The sequence below is a fragment of the Homo sapiens genome, chromosome 2 (genome assembly GCF_000001405.40).
Source record: "Homo sapiens chromosome 2, GRCh38.p14 Primary Assembly".
NCBI lineage: Eukaryota > Metazoa > Chordata > Mammalia > Primates > Hominidae > Homo > Homo sapiens.
Genome location: NC_000002.12, coordinates 237596730 through 237618152, shown reverse-complemented (window position 1 = coordinate 237618152; position 21423 = coordinate 237596730). Strand labels below are relative to the sequence as shown.

General features: G+C 49.8%; 6 annotated features.

The window, feature by feature from the left end:
* Positions 229-4417: an enhancer, noted in NCBI's record as "VISTA enhancer hs1945". NCBI's record gives its function as "enhancer in: heart[4/9]" and the evidence as "EXISTENCE:transgenic organism evidence [ECO:0001131][PMID:17130149]".
* Positions 229-4462: a biological region, named in NCBI's record as "VISTA enhancer hs1945".
* Positions 2880-3670: an enhancer, noted in NCBI's record as "OCT4-NANOG-H3K27ac hESC enhancer chr2:238523126-238523916 (GRCh37/hg19 assembly coordinates)". NCBI's record gives its function as "activates a minimal SCP1, AML or CMV promoter by ChIP-STARR-seq in primed H9 embryonic stem cells {active_cell/tissue: H9 hESC(primed)}" and the evidence as "EXISTENCE:reporter gene assay evidence [ECO:0000049][PMID:30033119]".
* Positions 3671-4462: an enhancer, noted in NCBI's record as "OCT4-NANOG-H3K27ac hESC enhancer chr2:238522334-238523125 (GRCh37/hg19 assembly coordinates)". NCBI's record gives its function as "activates a minimal SCP1, AML or CMV promoter by ChIP-STARR-seq in naive H9 embryonic stem cells {active_cell/tissue: H9 hESC(naive)}" and the evidence as "EXISTENCE:reporter gene assay evidence [ECO:0000049][PMID:30033119]".
* Positions 13557-14060: an enhancer, noted in NCBI's record as "H3K27ac-H3K4me1 hESC enhancer chr2:238512736-238513239 (GRCh37/hg19 assembly coordinates)". NCBI's record gives its function as "activates a minimal SCP1, AML or CMV promoter by ChIP-STARR-seq in naive H9 embryonic stem cells {active_cell/tissue: H9 hESC(naive)}" and the evidence as "EXISTENCE:reporter gene assay evidence [ECO:0000049][PMID:30033119]".
* Positions 13725-13905: a silencer, noted in NCBI's record as "fragment chr2:238512891-238513071 (GRCh37/hg19 assembly coordinates)". NCBI's record gives its function as "represses an EF-1alpha promoter that drives an FKBP-Casp9 reporter gene in an ReSE screen in K562 erythroleukemia cells {active_cell/tissue: K562}" and the evidence as "EXISTENCE:reporter gene assay evidence [ECO:0000049][PMID:32094911]".

The following is a 21423-nucleotide window of genomic DNA, read 5'->3' as shown; positions in this document are numbered from 1 at the left end:
TTTATCTGGGTGTAAGGGGCTTCCCGAAGGATGGGACTTTAGTTTTAAAACTGGACCCCTCTATGGTGTGCATGTGCACGTTTGCCAAAAGTTGCATGTGCAAATGCACACTTAACATTTATGCCTCTTATTATGTCTAAATCATACTTCAATTAAAAAAAGAGTATTTAAAAAAATCATGGTGGGAAAACAACCAAACCAGTGAAATCACAAGCAAGCAACAGAAGAGGGTGTTTGCCTTTGAGGTATCATATTGAACTCACAGTTTGATTGTAATAAATGTTGAAAGGTCCATAATGTAGGGGGCTGCCTGACTCATCACTTCCTCCAGGCTGTGGAGACCCAGACAATAGATGCTGGATAAACAGGTGCTCTGGAGGCACATTTAGTGTTTTGCACAGCTGACTCCCGTTTTCTAGAAGAGCTTGGGGGTTGGAGTAGTTCCATCTATTTGCCCCTTCTCCATTTTCACAGGGCCTCAGATACCCATGGCATTCGGTTCTCCTACAGAAGAACCACAGGTGAGTATCATCAGGACTCGACGATAAGGAGGAGACTCACCCACAGTCCCGGGCTGGCTTTACTGTCTCATTTGTGAAAAGGATAATGAAGCTCGCGTCTCCCCTGCCCCTCTGCCAGTTAATCACAGTTAATCCCATTTCCCGTGGTGGTTAGGGGCTGTTCTGCACTCCTGGTCACTGACTGAGTGTCTGTAACCCAGAAGACAGAACCAGGGTATGCCAGGCTGTGTGTGGATTTTGCTGCTGTTTTTCCATGAACTGTCACACAGCTGATTTTCGCTATAAGATGGCTCCTGCAGCCTTCGACAGTTCACACACATCCCTACATCCCGTGGGGCATGTTGAGTATGGAATCACGATGTTCCTCCACCATTCCGATGTAGCTAAGCAGCTTTTCCCCTTGAGGAATCACTGTATTTTTGAGCAAAACACCATCCTTATCAATCACTCAACCGCAGTCCTCCAGAACGGAAATGTAGCACAGATGTTTCAGATCTCTTTCAATGTTATAGGAAGACGCTTACCATATTTTTGGCAGTGGCTTTTAAAAGCACTCTATGTCCTTGACTTGCCAGTTTTAAAATAGTACAAACATTTCATCAAATTTTTTTGTTGTGCTGAATAATGCTCTGAAGACTTTTTCATGAGAAAATCACTTGAGATTTCTCTACATTGAGATAGCACCCAACAATTGAACACCTTCTGGAGAGGCCTGGGCTTTGCTTTATTTTAGTCTCAGCCATAAACGACGCTCAAGGGGACAGGCCCATCTGAAGCGTTCTGTGCCAGCTTCCAGTCTATTTTAGGAACATAATAGGAAAATAGTTTGCCACTTACTCATTTGCATCCTGTGCTCAAGTAGAATTCTTTCTATCAACATCCCCAGACAAAGAACAGTTCATAAAATTAGCTACAGTTTATAAAATCCAGGCTGGCCTCAAGCAGAACAAAGATGATGTGGGTTTTCTTCCTATGGAAGATTTTTCCTACACTGAAATGTTATCACAATGCAAGACAGGGCCATCGAAAGGATGAAATGAAATCACCCCTGTGTGGTCCATTGGCACAAAGCTCAGTGCCGCTGTAAGTGCACAATAGGGCCCCTACTGTGTGCAGTGTGTGGAAGGAGAGATACTGGGATGAGTGAGGCACAGTCCCTGCCTTCAGTGGGTCTCAAGATGTCAAAGGAGTGATGAGTGTGTAGATAACCAATCCTGTGCAATGACTGCATCTCGCTGGGAAAATCAGGAAGGAGCACTTGCTGTAAGGATGGATATTGGACGGGCTGTAGCAGAGGAGAGTCCAGGCAGAGGAAGCCGGACCCTGCAGCCTCCATTTCACCTGGTCCTCACGGGTCATGGTTTCACTATAGTAAGCGTGGAAGTTCTAAACTGTCTCTGCATCCTCTTTGGAAACTCCTGTCTGGTCACTCTAAGAAGGGGACTCAGGATCCTTGCTCAGCAAGAGACCTTAGCTGTTGACCAACACTGCTGCCTGCCCTGATGGAACAGAGATAAGATACCCCTCCCAAAAAGAAGGAGGGCCTCTGGCCTTGGACTGGAGAGGAGGTGGGATGGGTCAAGGCCTGATCCCGAGAAAGAGGACAGCCCTCCTGAGCAAGCCCAGATAACGGGACAAAGACTAAGATGTGCCAGTGTCTGGCTCAGAAAGGAGACAGATATTCATGTGTGTGTGTGTGTGTGTGTTGTGTGCGTGTCAGAGAGAGAGAGAGAGAGGAGAGAGAATGTCAGGTAGCTCATTAACTTTCTGCTTCCCAATCTCGGGTGAGAACTTGCTTTAGTCTTTTCCTGCTGGTTGATGAATGGATTTTAGGAAAAGCCATTGAAACAGTATACTCAGATTGTTTCAAATTGTTTCATTTCCTAAAGGGATGTGGCAGTTCCTGCATTCACATAGCCATTGAGTCCTGTGCTGGTCCCTGTGTGCTCCAGGTGGGAAGCCTGACCTTTTTGTTTTTGTATTTTTCATTTACCCACCCATTCACTCGCTCACTCACAAATTCAACCAATATTCACGGAGTGACCCTTGGGAATAGGAGAAGTGGTGCATTCTTCTTTGGCTGAACTCAAGGTGAAGGCAAGTCGCCTCCAGGATACTTGAAAGGCCCTCTTTTCTCTTGCCCCGTTATAGCATATCTTGTGGTTATCAGGGCTCCCACAATTGTCATCCTTGGAATAAAAAACCTTCCTCTGTGCAGTCTCACTCCAGCTTCTCCCCCAGTTCTGCCTCCTTGGAAAATGTCTTCTTCCGGACCCTGCTATGTTCTGGGAGGATAATTTCCTACTCAGGCCTCAGTATTTAGGGAGAAGAATCCTCCCCAGTGAACCTGGATAGGAAAAAAGATAAATGGAAGCAGACCAGGTTTCTGCTCCCACTTGCCTGGTTTCTAAATTGGTATTTTCTTCCAATGCATCCATAGCATTCCTGGGGGTTGGGGTTGGGGGCTGAGCGCGTCTGATGATTCTAACAGCTCCTTATGTCTTAGGGGCTTACCATATACTGTTACTACAACACGTCTAGTGCCCATGTGAATAATTTAATTTTTATATTGTTATTTAACTTGCGAAGCTCTCTTTGGGCTCCTCGATAGACAATAAGCTCTCTGAGGACAGGGATTGCTTTCTATTTCTGTGTGGCCCCACAGTTTCTGGCACAGTTCTGGGAGCTTGGGAAGGTTTCTGATAAGTACTTAATGAAGGATGAGATCTACTATGCAAGAGAAGGGGTGCGTTGACTCCATCCTGTGCTGGTCACAGTGCTCCTGGGAGTTTGGTTTAGTCCTGGGAATAAATTTAAATGGGAAATTCAGAGTGTACAGAAGAGCAACTGGGGGTTAGATGCTGTGATGAAGCTGAGCAGAGTGGACTGTCGGGATTACCAAGGGCAGAGGAGGAGGCCTGGGTGAGGTTCCCAATGCAATGGGAGGAGGGCTGCTCTCAGAACAGAGCCTGAGGGCGGAATGGGGTTTCTTGGCAGCACAGGGTCTCAGGACAGGATGTGCCGTCAGAGACAGCCCAGAGGAGGCGCTAGTGTCAGGCAGCGCTAGTTCCAGGGCGTGATAACAGGTGTTTTATGAAAAATGCATTTCAGCTCCAGTACCTTTGGGGAATGCTGCAGTTAACAAAGGTAAATAGGTCTCAGCACTGTGAGACTGCTGGAGGTCTTTGATATGCAATTGTGCATTGACTCTCTAGGAAGGAATGCCAGGAATGGTCATTCCAAACCCACTTGACCCCTTATCTTGGAAACACATCATACAGGTTGAGCATTCACAGAGGCCAGTTATGGAGATAACAGAGTACAGGGTCTGTCTGACAACACATGGGCCCAGGGCCTTTCCCGTTGTAAGCCTGCAACAGAGTGACGCAACCACTGAGCCGGGCCCCCTCTTTGGTGCTTCCTGTGGCTTTCTGAACAACCACTGGCGTCTTTCCTTCCCCCCTGGAATCAGAATGCCTATTAGGTACATTTGTTCTGATAACTTGAAACAGTATATGACCAGGTCAGTCGTCATGCTTTGGAGTTTGCAGGCAATGCATGGTTTAATGATGATTATTAAAGTGACAGCCATCCCTTTGTGGGGTCTCTGTTCTGCTGAGAACTCCCCTTTGCTCAGAGCTTCCTCCTTCCACCATGTTTGTTCATGTGCTTCCTGCTCCTCCACCCACCTCCCCAAGCTTCCCAGCCCTTGATGACCCCATGTGAATTTGGGATGGGGTGGAGTGACTGACAGCCTGGTAGGGCTGGTCCCCTCTCAACACCTGAGCTGTGGACTGCTGTGAGCACAGAGAAGCAGAGCAGCCAGACAAAAGGCACAGAGATTATCCCCATCACAGGGATGACAGCTCTCCCTTTACTGATTCCAGGCCCAGCTGTCCCCAGTTTCCATGATCAACCTCAGCAGACATCTAATAAAATCTCCTTTACTCTAGTTACCTTGAGTTGGTTTGATAAATTGCAACCAAAGAACTTTTTAAAATACACTGTTGAGACTGGGCACAATGGCTCACACCTATAACCCCAGCACTTTGGGAGGCCGAGGCAGGAGGATTGCTTGACTCCAGGAGTTCAAGACTAGCCTGGGCAACAAAGTGAGACCCCGTCTTAAAAAAATAAAAGTACACCGTTGAGTTACTAGTGCCAAGCTCTGTGCATACCTGATCTCAGGAGGTTCATTTTCATACCCTCCCATAGGTTAGGCCCAGATTTATCTGACTTTTACAGATAGATGAACTGAGCCCCTGAGAGGTTGAGTAAACTGCACCCAGCAGCTTATTCCAGCAAGGAGGGCAGTGAGCTCCAAACCCAAGACCATCAGGACAAGTCTGGTGCCTCTCTCTGTGCTTGCCAAACTTACCTCGCTATCTGCAGGGTGGAATGCCAGGTCAGGCCCAGACTGGCCTCTACTAGGAGCAGATGCCGGGGGTTCCATCTGCAGAGGGGAGAGGAGAGGGCTCTGTTGTTCTGAGAGCTACCCTGGAGCCCATTCTGCCCGCAGGGCTGGGAGACCAGGTGGTGGTTGGGGAGTGATCCCCAGGCAAAGGCCCCTGCTTGGAGCCCAAAGCCCACCCATGCAGGTTTGCAGTGTCAGCTCAGCCCCCTTCTGCCCAGCTGCAGCTTCAGCTGCAAGGAGTGATGGGGACTTTCCTGTTGGGGAATTCTAGCCATAGCCTAGGTCTCATGGGAGCCAGCGTGAAGCAATTCAGTTCTAGGTACCAAATTATAATCCACCTCCTCTCTAGAGTGTCACCGCTGTCACAACCCCACTCCTGTTCCTTTTCTCTGTCTGTCTTATTGATTTCTGCCATCATGGCCAAATGCTTAGCCAGAAAATATGGTGGTCCAGTTGGTCACTTGGAGCACAACACCCAACACACGGTGAACGTGCATTTGTGTTGTGATCATTATCGATGTTGGTTACACTTGGTGCCAGGTACTCTTCAGCTGTGGCTGGTTTCATGAGCGTCCATGTGAAGAGACCACCAAACAGGCTTTGTGTGAGCAATAAAGCTGTTTATTTCACATGGGTGCAGGTGGGCTGAGTCTGAAAAGAGAGTCAGCAAAGGGAGATAGGGGTGGGGCCGTTTTATAGGATTTGGGTAGGTAAAGGAAAATTACAGTCAAAGGGGGGTTGTTCTCTGGCGGGCAGAGTGGGGGATCACAAGGTGCTCAGTAGGGGAGCTTTTGAGCCAGGATGAGCCAGGAGAAGGAATTTCACAAGACAATGTCATCAGTTAAGGCAGGAACAGGCCATTTTCACTTCTTTTGTGGTGGAATGTCATCAGTTAAGGCAGGAACTGGCCATCTGGATGTGTATGTGCAGGTCACAGGGGATATGATGGCTTAGCTTGGGCTCAGAGGCCTGACATTCCTGTCTTCTTATATTAATAAGAAAAATAAAACGAAATAGTGGTAAAGTGTTGGGACGGTGAAAATTTTGGGGGCTGGTATGGAGAGATAATGGGCGATGTTTCTCAGGGCTGCTTCGAGCGGGATTAGGGGCGGCGTGGGAACCTAGAGTGGGAGAGATTAAGCTGAAGGGAGGTCTTGTGGTAAGGGGTGAGATTGTGGGGATGTTAGAAGAAACATTTGTCGTGTAGAATTATTGGTGATGGCCTGGATACGGTTTTGTATGAATTGAAAAACTAAATGGAATAACGGAGAAAAACAGGTATAAAAGGTCTAAGAATTGGGAGGACCCAGGACATCTAATTAGAGAGTGCCTAAGGAGATTCAGCATAGTCCTGCCAGCAAAGACTATTTATTTACTTCAAGAGTTAAGAGTGGCAGTTTGAGGATAGCACCAGGAGATATCAGCTGTGATGGCTTGGAGAAACAGTGTAAACCGGCAGTGTAAACAAGAGCAGGGCATGTATGAGTAGTCGAGAACGGTAAATAGGAGTATGACTAGACAGAAGATAGTAGGGATGACAAGTTTTTTTGGGGCACAGTCTAAGTTGGTCTGGTGTCTGGAATGAGACTGGGTCCTAATAAAAAGAGCGTCTATACAGGAGCTCAAATGGGCTGTACCTTGCAGCATTCTGAGGACAGGTCTGACTTCTGAGAAGGGAAAGTGGTAAAAGTATTGTCCAGTCCTTTTTAAGTTGGTGGCTGAGCTTGGTGAGGTGTGTTTTTAAAAGACCTTTAGTCCGTTCTACTTTTCCTGAAGACGGAGGACCGTAAGGGATATAAAGGTTTCACTGAATACTAAGAGCCTGAAAAACTGCTTGGCTGATTTGACTAATAAAGGCTGGTCTGTTATCAGACTGTATAGAGGTGGGAAGGCTAAACTGAGGAATTATGTCTGACAGAAAGGAAGAAATGACTGCGGTGGCCTTCTCAGACCCTGTAGGAAAGGCCTGTACCTATCCAGTGAAAGTGTCTACCTAGACTAAGAGGTATTTTAGTTATCTGACTCGGGGCACGTTGAGTAAAGCTAATTTGCCAGTCCTGGGTGGGGCAAATCCTCGAGCTTGATGTGTAGGGAAGGGAGGGGGCCTGAATAATCCCTGAGGAGTAGTAGAATAGCAGATGGAACACTGAGAAGTTATTTCCTTGAGGATAGATTTCCATGATGGAAAGGAAATGAGAGGTTCTAAGAGGCGGGCTAGTGGCTTGTACTATAGCATAGCCTGCCTTTGCTGGTGTGTGGCGATTAGGCCTGGTGGAACTGCCATCAATAAATCAAGCGTGATCAGGGTGAGGAACAGGAAAGAAGGAAATATGGGGAAATGGGGTGAATGTCAGTTGGATCAGAGAGATACAGTCATGGGGGTCAGGTGTGGTATCAGGAATAATGTGGGAGGCTGGATTGAAGTCCGGGCCAGGAACAATGGTAATTGTGGGACTTAACAAAGAGTGAGTACAGCTGAAGGAGCCAGGGAGCAGAAAGTATATGCGTCAGGTATGAGGAAGAAAATAGATTTTGGAAGTTATGAGGAATGTAGAGAGTAAATTGAGCATAGTTTGTGATTTTGAGGGCCTCTAAAACTATTAGGGCGGCAACAGCCGCTGCACGGAGACATGATGGCTAGGCTAAAACAGTAAGGTCGAGTTGTTTGGACAGAAAGGCTACAGGGTGCTGTCCTGGCTCTTGTGTAAGAATTCTGACTGCACTAACCATGCCTAGGAAGGAAAGGAGTTGTTGTTCTGTAGAAGGGATTGAGGTTTGGGAGATTAATCAGACATGATCAGCAGGGAGAGCACGTGTGTTTTTATGAAATTATGCTGAGATAGGTAACAGGTAAGGAAGAAATTAGGCTTGACTGAAGTAATGGGGGCTGTCTGTGAAGCTTTGTGGCAGTACAGCCCAGGTAATTTGCTGAGTCTGATGGGTGTCAGGGTCAGTCCAAGTGAAAGCAAAGAGAGGCTGGGATGATGGGTGCAAAGGAATAGTAAAGAAAGCATGTTTGAGATCCAGAACAGAATAATGGACTGTGGAGGGAGGTATTGAGGATAGGAGAGTATATGGGTTTGGCACCATGGGGGGGATAGTCAAAACAATTTTGTTGATAAGGCATAGATCCTGAACTAACTTGTAAGGCTTGTCTGGTTTTAGGACAGGTAAAATGGGGGAATTGTAAGGAGAGTTTATAGGCTTTAAAAGGCCATGCTGTAGCAGGCAAGTGATAACGGGCTTTAATCCTTTCAAAGCATGCTGTGGGATGGGATATTGGCACTGAGTGGGGTAAGGATGATTAGGTTTTAATGAGATGGTAAGGGGTGCATGATCGGTCGCCAAGGAGGGAGTAGAGGTATCTTATACTTGAGGGTTAAGGTGGGGAAATACAAGAGGAGGACGCAAAGGAGGCTTTGGATTGGGAAGAAGGGCAGCAATGAGATGCAGCTGTAATCCAGGAATAGTCAGGGAAGCAGATAATTTAAAGTGTCTCGGCCAATAAGGGAACTGGGCAGGTGGGGATAACTAAAAAGGAGTGCTTAAAAGAGTATTGTCTAATTGGCACCAGAGTTGGGGAGTTTTAAGAGGTTTAGAAGCCTGGCCGTCAATACCCACAACAGTTATGGAGGCAAGGGAAACAGGCCCTTGAAAAGAAGGTAATGTGGAGTGGGTAGCCTCGGTATTGATTAAGAAGGGGACAGACTTACCCTCCACTGTGAGAGTTACCCGAAGCTCGGCGTCCGTGATGGTCTAGGGGGCTTCCGAGGCGATCGGGCAGCGTCAGTCTTCAGCCGCTAAGCCAAGAAGATCTGGGAGGGAGTCAGAGAGCCTTGGGCCAGAGTTCCAGGGGCTCTGGGAGTGGCTGCCAGGTGAGTTGGACAGTCCAATTTCCACTGGGGTCCCGCAAAGATGGGACGCGGCTTAGGAGGAATCCTGGGCTGCAGGCATTCCTTGGCCTGGTGGCCAGATTTCTGGCACTTGTAGCAAGTTCCTGGGGGAGGAGGTTCTGGAGGAACGCCTGGCCGCTGCGGTTCAGGCGTTTGGAAGTTCTTGTGCGCTGGAGATGTGGCTGGGGTTTGTCTCACAGTGGAGGCAAGGAATTGCAACTTTTTTCTATTATTGTATACCTTGAAGGTGAGGTTAATTAAATCCTGTTGTGGGGTTTGAGGGACGGAATTTAATTTTTGGAGTTTTATTTAATGTTGGGAGCAGATTGGGTAATAAAATGTATTTTGAGAATAAGATGGCCTTTTGACCTTTTAGGGTCTAGGGCTGTAAAGTGTCTCAGGGTTGCTGCGAAACGAGTCATGAACTGGGCTGGGTTTTTATATTTGATGAAAAAGAGCCTAAACGCTTCTGATTTGGGATAAAGAAAAAGGAGCATTAACCTTGACTATGGCTTTAGCTCCAGCCACCCTTTTAAGAGTAAATTGCTGGGCAGGTGGGGGAGGGCTAGTCACGGAATGAAACTGTAAGCCAGACCGGGTGTGAGCAGGTGAGGTGATAAAAGGATTATAGGGTGGAGGAGCAGAGGCTGAGGAAGAATTGGGACCTAGCTCGGCCTGGCGAGGAGCAGCCTGGGGAGGAGGGAGAGGTCAGATGGGTCTGTAGAAAAGGAAGATTAGAAAGACTCAGTGACGCTTGGGGTTGGGACTGAGGGGGACAGGTGGGAGGGAAAGAAGGAAGATTTGGGATGAGTTGCACTGGGTACAGAGACTAGGAAGGGACTGATGTGTAAAAGAATGCCTGGACGTCAGGCACCTCAGATCATTTGCCCATTTTATGACAAGAATTATTTAGATCTTGTAGGATGGAAAAATTGAAAGTGCCATTTTCCGGCTATTTGGAACTGCTGTTGAGTTTGTATTGAGGTCAGGTGGCATTGTAGAAGAAAATAAGATGCTTAGATTTTAGGTCAGGTGAGAGTTGAAGAGGTTTTAAGTTCTTAAGAACACAGGCTAAGGGAGAAGAAGGAGGAATGGAGGGTGGAAGCTTGCCCATAGTGAAGGAGGCAAGTCCAGAGAAAAGAGTAGAGACACGGAGAAGGGGTGGGGGGTTCTTGCCCTCCAGAAAAGCAGAGAAGGGGTCGGGGTGCAGAGATACAAGGTTGGGGCATGGAAACAAGGGATCGGGGTACAGAGATATAAGAGGTTGGGGCACGGAAATAAGGAATCGGGGTGCAGAGATATAAGAGGTTGGGGCATGGAAATAAGGGATCGGGGCACAGAGATATAAGAGGTTGGGGCACAGAAATAAGGGATTGGGGCGCAGAGATATAAGAGGTTGGGGCACGGAAATAAGGGATTGGGGCGCAGAGATATAAGAGGTTGGGGCATGGAAAAGGGGATCGGGGCACAGAGATATAAGAGGTCAGGGTGCAGAAATAAGGGATCGGAACGCAGAGATATGAGGTTGGGGTACTTGCCCTTCCCCCAGAAAAGCGGGACTTGCCACTAAGGGGGAAGGAGAAGGGGTTGGGTGTTTCTTGCCCCCCAGAAAGGCGGAGAAGGGGTAGAGACCCAGAGAGAAGGGGTTGGGGTACTTGCCCCTCCCCCAGAAAAGCGGGACTTGCCACTAAGGGTGAAGGACCAAGGCAGGCATCCCTGTGTGGTCTGACACCTCTGAAACCTGGGTGAATAATCAGAGAGGCATCCCTGCAATGATTAAACACCAAGGGAAGTCTGCCTTCCCTAGTCCGTGACTGGCGCCAGAGTTTTGGGTCCACAGATAAAACACATCTCCTTTGTCTCTACCAGAAAATGAAAGGAATTGAAATTAAGAGAAGGGAGAGATTGAAGAGCGGAAAGGAGAAAGTAGTTGAGGGATAGTGAGAGAGGTTGGAGAAGAGAGTAAGAAGAGGCCGCTTACCCGATTTAAAATTGGTGAGATGTTCCTTGGGCTGGTGGGTCTGAGGACCTGAGGTCGTAGGTGGATATTTTTCATGGAGCAAAGAACAGGAGGACAGGGGATTGATCTCCCAAGGGAGGTCCCCCGATCCGAGTCACGGCACCAAATTTCATGAGCGTCCATGTGAAGAGACCACCAAACAGGCTTTGTGTGAGCAATAAAGCTGTTTATTTCACATGGGTGCAGGTGGGCTGAGTCTGAAAAGAGAGTCAGCAAAGGGAGATAGGGGTGGGGCCATTTTATAGGATTTGGGTAGGTAAAGGAAAATTACAGTCAAAGGGGGGTTGTTCTCTGGTGGGCAGAGGAGGGGGTCACAAGGTGCTCAGTAGGGGAGCTTTTGAGCCAGGATGAGCCAGGAGAAAGAATTTCACAAGGCAATGTCATCAGTTAAGGCAGGAACAGGCCATTTTCACTTCTTTTGTGGTGGAATGTCATCAGTTAAGGCAGGAACTGGCCATCTGGATGTGTATGTGCAGGTCACAGGGGATATGATGGCTTAGCTTGGGCTCAGAGGCCTGACAGCTGGGGTGGGGGAGCCTAATGCAGGGCCGGCGGCACAGGCATGTCACCCCTGCATTCCCTCGGGGCCTGTGCTCAGAAGGACCCAGGCTGGGTCAGATGCTCTGTGTTAGGCTAATAACCTCCCAAAGGGAGTTAGTTATGTTACGTTCTGTGTTAGTTTCCTGGGCTGCCATAAGACCTTACCACAAGCTGTGTGGCTTATAACAGAAATGTATTGGCTCAAGTCTTGCAGGCCAGAAGACTGAATCAAGGTGTCAGCAGACGTGGCTCCTTCTGGAGGCTCCGAGGGTGAATTCATTCCTGGCCTCTCTCTGGCCTCTGGTGCTCCTGGTGGTCCTGGGCGCTGCTTGGCCTGTGGACCATCACCCAATTTCTGCCTTTGCCTTCCCATGGCCTCTTCCCTCTGTGTGCGTTTCTGTGTCCAAATCTCTCTTTTCTCATGAGGAAGCCAGTCATTGGATTTAGGGCTCACCTGAATCCAGGATGACCTCATGTTAAGACACATTCTAAGGTGCCAGGTGGACATTAATTTTGCGGGGACACTCTTCAACCCAGCACAAGCTCCTAGAGTATAAAAGCTTCCTATATGGCTTGGGAACTCCCAAAGGACAGGGCCTGGCATAAATGCCCAATTTGCTTCTTTTTTTTTGAGACAGAGTCTTGCCCTGTCACCCAGGCTGGAGTACAATGGTGTGATCTCGGCTCACTGCAACCTCCAATTCCTGGGTTTAGGTGATTCTCCTGCCTCTGCCTCCCGAGTAGCTGGGATTACAGGCATGTGCCACCACGCCCGGCTAGTTTTTGTATTTTTAGTAGAGACACGGTTTCACCATGTTGGGCAGGCTGGTCTCAAACCCCTGACCTCGTGATCCACTTGCCTCAGACTCCCAAAATGCTGGGATTACAGGCCTGAGCCACCGCGCCTGGCCCATTTGCTTTTCTTTTAAGAGACAGGGTCTCGCACTAGCACCCAGGCTGGAGTGCGGTGGCATGATCTCGGTTCACTGCAGCCGCGACCTCCCAGGCACAAGCAATCTTCCCACCTCTGCCTCCCAAGTAGCTGGGACTATAGGCACACGCTACTAATCCCAGCTAATTTTTGTATTTTTTTTTTTTTGTAGAGACAAGATCTGTCTATGTTGCCCAGGCTGGTTTCAAACTCCTAGGCTCAAGTGATCTTTCCCCCTTGGCCTCCCAAAGTCCTGTGATTACAGACCTGAGCTACTGTGCCTGGCCAACCAATTTGCTTTTCACAGAGACAAATCTCCACAAAAGGCTGACCTTGTCATGAATATTTATGACATCTAAGGCATTATGGGTTGAACTGTCTCTCTCTAGAATTCATATGTCCAAGTCCTAACCTCCATACCTCAGAATGTAATCTTACCTGGGGAGAAGGTCTCTATGGTGAGGTCACCAGGATAGGCCCTAAACCAATATGACCATGTCCTTATGAAAAGGGTAAATTTAGACACGCAGACACACACATGCCATGTGACATGAAGGCGGCGATAGTGATGCTTCCACAAGCCAAGGAACACCAAGAATTCCCAGCGAAGCACCGGGAGTATGGAACAGATTCTCTGCAGAGCTTCCAGGAGGAGCTGCCCTGCCACCTTCTGGCCTCTTCTCGGGCTTCTGGCCTCCAGGACTGCGAGACAATCAGTTCCTATTGTTTAGGCCACTCAGGTTGTGATAGGTGGTTACAGTAGCCCTGGCAAAGTCACACACAGGGCTGGGGGCAGCATTGTTTCTCCGCTTTCTTTCTTTTTTTTCTTTTGAGACGGAGTCTAACTCTGTCACACAGGCTGGAGTGCAGTGGCATGATCTCGGCTCACCGCAACCTTGGCCTCCTGGGTTCAAGCGATTCTCCTGCCTCAGCCTCCTGAGTAGGTGGGATTACAGGCACGTGCCACCACACCTGGCTAATTTTTGTATTTTTAGTAGATACGGGGTTTCGCCATATTGGCCAGGCTGGTCTTGAACTCCTGACCTCAGGTGATCCACCCGCCTCGGCCTCCCAAAGCTGGGATTACAGTCGTGAGCCACCACACCCGGCCGTTTCTCCATTTTCTACGGGAGACATGTTTTCCACATGTTTGGACCGTCCTTTGGGGATAACTGTGAGTGAGCATCTCACTTGAGAACCTCCCTCACATCCTCCACGTACTTCGCCCACGGTGGGGAGGTGGGGAGGTGGGCCCAGCAGCCTGTGGCCTCGGTGTGCTTGCTGCACATGGAGTGGACCCCATGTGGCCTCCTCCAGTGAGCCTCCAGGCTTGGGATGGGCCAGGTGCTGGAGCAAGTCCATTCCAGAGCTTGGTTCTTTTAAAAATTTCTATAATATATATACATATATTTTATAGACAGAGTCTTGCTCTGTTGCCCAGGCTGGAGTGCAGTGGCACGATCATAGCTCACTGCAACTTTGAACTCCTGGGCTTAAAGGATCCTCCTCCCTTAGCCTGCCAAGTAGCTGGCAGCTAATTAAAAAAAAAAAAGGGTGTTTTTAAAAAAAAAAAAAAATTGATTGGGGGGATCTCACTATGTTGCCCAGGCTGGTCTCGAGCCCCTGGCCTCAAGCCATCCTCTCGCCTCAGGCTCCCAAAGTGCTGGGCTTACAGAGTGAGCCACCGTGCTGGCCAGAGCCTGGTTCTTAGTGGGCCAGTCAGGGAATTTCAATGAAAAGTAAGGAGCCAAAGAAAGAAGACAAGGAAGTTGAAATAGGTCGGGGCTGAGATAATCCTTAGAGATCAACATCTCGGGTCTCAGTTGTTTATCTAAACCGAGCTGAATTCCAACCCCCACCCACACCTCCTGCATCTTCCCGGGGCTCTCAGCTTTGCTTTTTCAGAACGGTTTTCATTGTGTGTGTTGCCGCTGGCTGGATGTGAGGGTGAGTGATTTTACCGTAGCATCAAGTGTAGCCCAGAGCAACAGATGAACTCCGGAACAGAGTCATTTCCTGGATTCTGCCCTCTGGGTTCTAGATGCTTCCTGACAGTTCCGTTTCTTGACGTGCAGTTGCCGAGTCAAAGGCTGTGTTGTTGAATTCATTGCTACGCATCCCAGGTTTGCCCTCTCAGAAAACTGCACTGCCAGACAGTCTCAGCAACGGTTGGTGGACAGTCTCTACTGTTTTGCCAAAGCTTGGATGTGATGAGGCTTTGCCAATCTGACCTCCATGCTGACCGGCTCCTGCACGTGCTGGTGAGGCCGAACGCTCCTGCTAGCGCTGCCTGCACACCTGGGACTCACTTTCAGCGAATTGTCTGGCTGTGCCTTTGTCCATTTTTTGCTGATTTATAAATCAAGGATTTTAAAGCCACATGTTTGTGGCAGTTATTGTCCCAGCATTTTGTTTTATCCATATGCTTTTCTTGATATACAGGTGGCTTTCATTTGCAGAGGTCATTATTTCCTCCCTCTTATGGTTTGGTTTTTGCATTTGCCTCTGTGGGGTAGGTTAAGAAAGTTGTGGATTTGAATCCTTGTTCGATAGCTACGTAACTCTGGGGAATGTACTTAATCTCTCTGAGCCTCAATTTTCTCATCCGTAAAATGGGGATAACAATATCCACCTCCCTGGTTTGTTGGTGTGTATGGAAAAACTCTCTCAAACTGCGTTTTTCCTCTTTCACTCCACCACCACCTCCACAATCATCAACACAGAAGACGTCTGCAATAAAAGGCGTGGGGGTTTCCCCACACATTAAGCAGTGGGCCCCAGCTGGGTGTTCAATTCTAACACTGTCCACCTGGAGATAGCACCAGATCCCACTGGGTGGGGGGCTCAGTCCCCACGACTGCCACCCACCCCAGACACCAGTCATAAGCCTGGGCCTCTCGAACTTCTGACGGATGGGCTTCAAGTTGGGGTTCCCATGACCTCCTCTCTGTGTTGATCAATTTGCTGGAGCAGCTCACTGAACTCAGGGAAATAACTATGTTTGCTGGCTTATTGTAAAGGATGTTACAAAGGACACAGATGAAGAGATGCGTAGTGCGAAGTATGGGGGAAGGGGCAGGGAGCTTCCAAGCCCTCCCTGGACACATCATCCTCTGGGAACCTCCACAAAGTCAGCTCTCCACGGCTCCCTGAACCCAGTCCTCTTGGGTTTTTATGGAAGCTTCATGTTGACAGAATTCCTTCCCGCATGGTATGAGGCGGGACCCTCCCAGGGGAGGCTGTTAAGACCTACAGTCAGAAAAGTGAGGGAAGGTTAGAGTCCTGCCTTGTGGCAGGAAAAAGGAAGGCGAGAGGGTCAGAGAGGTTCTGTTACCTGAGGGTGGCGCCCAGGATTAGCACATCCAACATTATAACAGAAAACTGTAACAAGGGCTAAGTGGAGCTATGAGCCAGAAACTGTGGATGAAAAAATATATACATATATATATATATGAACATCAGAGTTGGTCATTTTATAATTTACATAAACACTGGGCAGGGAGTGTAATAAGCACTTAATAAATGATACCTTTCCATATTCCTTGATTTTAAGTCAACAAATGTGATGTGGTTCATCAGCTACTATTTAGATATCTTGAGAAAGACAGAAGACCTCAAGACGCAGGTCCTGTTCTTGAAGGAAAGGAGAAGAGAACCCTTGTCTGGGGAGCATGCTCTGCACTTAGGCGACCAGCAGGATTGGAAGGGACCATCAGTGTGGTCCTGGAGGAATCCATCAATGGAGGCCCCGAGGGGCCGTGAAGGACTTGCCCATGTAAACTGCAGGGCCTGGTCTGCGGCTCCCACCCCCGTGCACCTCACCTCCAGTTAAGTCCTGCAGCTTATCACCTCAGTGGAGAGACAAAGCAGTGCTTTGGAATGTGACCCCTTTGATAGCTTGAATGTTGCAGGTTCCGCAGTGGCTTTCATGCTAGTCAGGGGGCAGTGGAGAGTGGCAGCACGTCAGCTGAGTGTAGGGCTACCAAGTCTTGGGCCAGGCAGGACTTGAGCAGCTTGGGGAGTCGCCCAGAGGAGGGATCCTGGGGGTAGCTGGCCAAAGCCAAGCTGGTTAAGATAGGTGGCCAGTGATAGCTGCCAAGGCTAGGAGGAACAGGACTGCTCTATGTATTAGGCAAAGGAAGTTATGTCCAGAGTCCAGAAGGGCAGGAAATAGCAACCCAGATTAGAGGACGGTAGTCGGGCCTCAGTCAGTCGGGGAAGGTGAGCCCCAGGTCCAGGGCTCCAGCAACCACAGAGTCCCGTGCAGACTGAAGGGCCTCTGAAATGCTCACTCATTAAACGATGACGATTGACAGTGACTGCAAAGGTAAGGAACACAGTTTATCACACACTCACCTGTCACGTGCCAGGCTCTAGCCTCCACGATAACCTTAAAAACCAAGGAATATTATTTCCTCTCTGAAAGGGGGAGACTGAGGTTTAGAGATGAGCTTACATGACCACACTCACTGCCAGTCAGCACTGGACCTTGGGTTTGAACCCAGGACTGCCCGACCTCTTTCCTGGCTCTTTACCATAGACCTGGTGACCTCTGTGCAGGGTGAGAGGATGGCTGGGGGATAGTCTTCAAGGGATAAAAGACAAGCACAAAGCTTGGCTGGATTGGGGGAGGAAGAGGCAGAGCAAAGAACAATTCCTGCAAAACATGTTTTTACCTTCTTTTATTTCCAAACTCTTTCCTGGGGCCGGAACCGGTCGTGAACTGAAGCCAGCGGGAGGCCATTGGCAATGTGACTCCCTTCTAAATGCTGGTGGTAGAGGAGATGGAGAGAAAAAGACGGTTTCGAGAAATCTTTCAGAGGTACAATTGGGAGGACTGGATAATGGGTTGGATGCAAGGATTGTAGACTAAGATGACTCCAGGTTTTCTGGCCTAACTCACTGGACAGTTCTCTTTCCTGGAAGGAGGGAGCTTAGGGGATAAACACATTTGGCCGGGAAGAACCAGGGTGTTGTTTGGAGCACACTGAATTTGGGGCATCTGTGAGATGACCTAGTGGAGATGCTGTGCCCTGGCCAATCTTGGCAAGTTCATGTTATTGTTCCACCTGCTTGGAGTCCCCAGGCCTGCCCGTGGGCCATAGATTTTCCCACCTCTGCTCATGCTGGGGTTAAACGGAGCCACCAGCACCGCCATCTCTGCCACCTTTTGTAGGATGAGCTCCAGCCGGCCGACACCACACGGGACTGTGTTTACTGTCTGCCCAAGGTGGTGAGGCTGAGCTCAGAGCAGAAGGGGACCTACCCCACAGTCAGCAATCTGTTCTGTTCGCCCGGAGGGCTCCAGAGCTCCGGCTGCCTGCCTTTCAGAGAAGAGGGATCATTCACAGAACTGCAGCTCCTGCTAGAGGCACAGACCGGCCTGCAGCTCAGAGGGCAGAGTCACTGATTTCCAAAACGGAAGTGAACATAAGCCCAGTACTTATTTTAGGAGATTTACTAATCAGAGCGGCTGAGTGCATGTGTAAAACGTGCTGTGAAGGAGTCTGTGTATGGAGGCAATCTCCCAACTTCTAAGTCGGCATTTAACCTGGATAAATCCCAGGGCCCCACATGGCCCAGTGGCAGCGTGGTTTCGCTTTTAAAGAAGCACAAGCCAACCACTAAAGGTAATGTTAAAAAAAACGGGAGAGTTCCAGTTCTAGTAGGAACTGCAGGAGCATGGATTGAACTAATCTCCCGCAAAGAAAAATGATCAACTCTGGATAAGATGTAAAGCACCGTTGAAGGACACTGGACAGTGGCCAAAGAAGCAAACTGACCAAAGAAGCAAAGAATGGAGAGGACTCGACCCTTGAAAGAAAGGAACTGCTCTGGATGAAATTCACGCTAAGATGACCTTCCTCCGAGGCCCCTCTCCAGGCTGCTCGGGGCAGGGAGGCTGGAATGTAAGGCCCAGGAACTCAGGGAATGGTGTTCAGGCTGCTGGAGTGGCTGGAAACTGAGGGTGAAGTCTTAGAAAGAAGGGAGCTTGAAGGAGACAGGCCCAAAATATTACACATTAATTCTATTTTATTATTTTTGTAGAAACAAGGGCTTGCTGTGTTGCCCAGGCTGGTCTTGAACTCCTGGACTCCAGTGATCCTCCCGCCTTGTCCTCCCAAAGTGCTGGGATTACAGGAGTGAGCTACTGTGCCCGGCCCACATTAATTCTCAAATCTTTAGCCTACCCTGCAAAACCCAAGTGAGACTCCAAGCAGCTCAGTGGGAAGCAATGCCTGTAAGGCTGAAGGCTGAGCAGAGATTTCAGCTGCTGCCCACTGCAGGGAAACAATTTGGAGTCTAACTCCTGCCAAGTAGGCGCCTCAGGTTTTCCATTAAAACCCCAGAAAGGCCTCCGCTTAGGCTCAAAGACCATGTACCAGGACTAAGATTCATCCTAGGACTTGGGGTTATAACAGTAAACAGAACACCCTGGCATTACAACAGTAAACAAACAGTTAAAGGTGTAGTTGGGAAATTTATATTCTAGTTGGGAAAACTGCAATAAACCAATAAGTGTTATGCAGAAAAATCAAGCCAGGCTGTGGTTGGGTAGGTTAGTCAGAGAAGAACTTACTGGGTGTGGAGGAGGGGGTCACATTTTCAGCATGGACTTTGTAGGGGGATTGAATGGCGACCCTCAAATGGTGGTTCTCAAAAAGATGCGTCTAAGCTCTAACCTCTGGTACCTGGGAATGTGACCTTATTTGAATAAAGAGTCTTTGCAGATGTAATTGATTTAAAGATCTCAAGAGGAGATTATCCTGGATGAACCAGGTGGGTCCTAAATCCTATGGCAAGTGTTCCTATAAGTAGCAGAGACTCAAGGAAGAAGCCATGTGAAGACGGAGGCAGGGACTGGAGGGTGCATCTGTAAGCCCAGGCATCAGAAGCTCACAGGGAGGCAGGGGTGGCTCCTCCCTCAGGGCGCCCAGAAGAACCAGCCCTCCCAAGGCCTTGATTTTGGATTTGTGCTCTCCAAAACTGTTAGAAGGTAAGCACGCTTTCTTTTAAGCCACTAACTTGGTGGTTATATGTTCTGGCAGCCACAGGACACAGTGACAGACCTGCAGTGGGAGACAGGGAAAGTACTTCCCAGGGACCTTCGCAGGGAGAAGCGACAGCAGGTGCAAAGGCCCAGAGTCAGGCCCAAGCATGACCTGCGCGTCGCCAGGGATGCTGGAGGGGACGGAGCAGGGAGAGAGGAGAAGAATGAGGTCAGAAGTCAGAGGTGATGAGGGTAGGGAAGGGGGCGGGTTACAGGGATTTCCAGGCTACGCTAAAAACCGAACTGCTGCTCTGAGTGAAATGGGAAATGCTAGGTGCCATTGCCCATGGACTCTGCTTGTAAACAAACTCACACAGCTGCTGTGTTGAGAAGAACAAGGCAGGCACGGGGAGGCTGATCAGAAGGCTCTGCATCACCCAGGGGAGAGAGAGCAGGGGAGTGGGCTAAGACGGAGGCAATGAAGGAGAGGAGAGGGAACCAGGATGGGGAAAATGGAGAAGGGGAGAGGGAACCAGGATAGAGGAGAGGGGACCAAGGGGGGGACAATGGGGGAGGGAGAGGGGACTGAGGTGGGGACAGTGGAGGAAGGAGAGGGGACCGAGGTGGGGAGGTGGGGACGGTGGGGGAGGGGAGAGGGGACCGAGGTGGGGAGGTGGGGACGGTGGGGGAGGGGAGAGGGGACCGAGGTGGGGACAGTGGAGGACGGAGAGGGGACCGAGGTGGGAACAGTGGAGGTGGGGCATGGGGGACTAACATGGCAGCAGTGAGAAGCGGCTGGTGATGTGTGACGTGTGAATGTGGAGCTGAAAGAACTTCCTGTGGGTTAGACGTGAGACATGTGAGGAGGAGAGGACACAGGTGACTCTGGGATTTTGGCCTGAGCGCCTGGAAGGATCAAGTTGCCGTGAAGTGAGGCAGGGCTGCAGGTGGGGCAGGTTTTGGGCATCAGGAGCGCCAGTGTGGACCTGTGCATCTGAGATGCCTCTCGTGGGAGGGAGGCGGATTTGGGCCTCTGGAGCCGGAGGGTGGCCTGGATGGAGGCCTGTGTCCAAGCATCGTCTGTCGGTCCGTGTTTTTCATCTGTGGATCTCCAAGGGGGGCAGGGAGCAAGAGGAGGGAAGAGGCACAGGCCTGAGAATTTTTGCCCCAGTGTTGAGAAGTTTTGGGAGGAGGAGGAGGGGAGCCAGTGGTACTGGGCCATCAGGACAGGCTGTCAGAAGCCTCTCGGGGTCCTGCTCAAGAGGGTGGCCAGCCAGGCCGCGTGGTGCTCACGGCTATGCCAGCGGGGACTGAGGGTTTGGTAACACAGAGGCCCTGGGTGACTGTCCAGGAGCCTTCTGGGTGAAGTGAAGGAGGCCACAGCCCCGGTGGAGTAGATTCAAGAGAGACCCAGGAGAGAGGAAGTGTAGACCGAGGGCGGAGGCCACTCTAAAGGGCGAAATGGTGCTGGGGGTGTGGGGCCGGGAGCCGTGCTTTTAAATTTAATTACAAGAGAAGCTAGAGTGCAGGTGCGTGCCCATGGGAACCCCCTAATAGAAAGGACAGCTTTGGCTGGGAGAATGTTAGAGCAGCATCCGTCCTAGGGGGCGAGTGGCCAGGGGCTGTGCAGCCCAGGGCAAGAATGGCCGAGCTTATCTGCCCCCTTTCTGGGAGAAGCGCCGAGGCCTCTGCAGGAAGAGCTAAGGTTCCTCCCCGAGGGACAGCAGTAGCGTGAAGCTGTGCACCTCCTCAGAGGCTGATCCAGGTCTGATCAGTTCCTCCTGTTCACTCCTACGGACCACAGGGTTCCTACCCTTGTCCTCCTCTCTGTGGCCTGGAGTGGGTCTGGGCTTCAGACTCTTCACTCATAAAATAGGATAAAAATAAGGGATCCCCCCTCTCACATTTGCAGGGCTTGGGACAGGAGTACAAATGGTACTCCGTGCACCATGTGAATAAATAAATTCATGAAAAAAGCCAAGCAAATGCCTTGTTGAACACAATGCCCCACGCGCTACTTTGCTAGAAACATGTTCCTGACAGCCTGGAAGCCTAGGGTTGCACTTAGAACCCTGGGGCTCCTTGGCCAGAATGGGGTGTCCCAGCCCCAGCC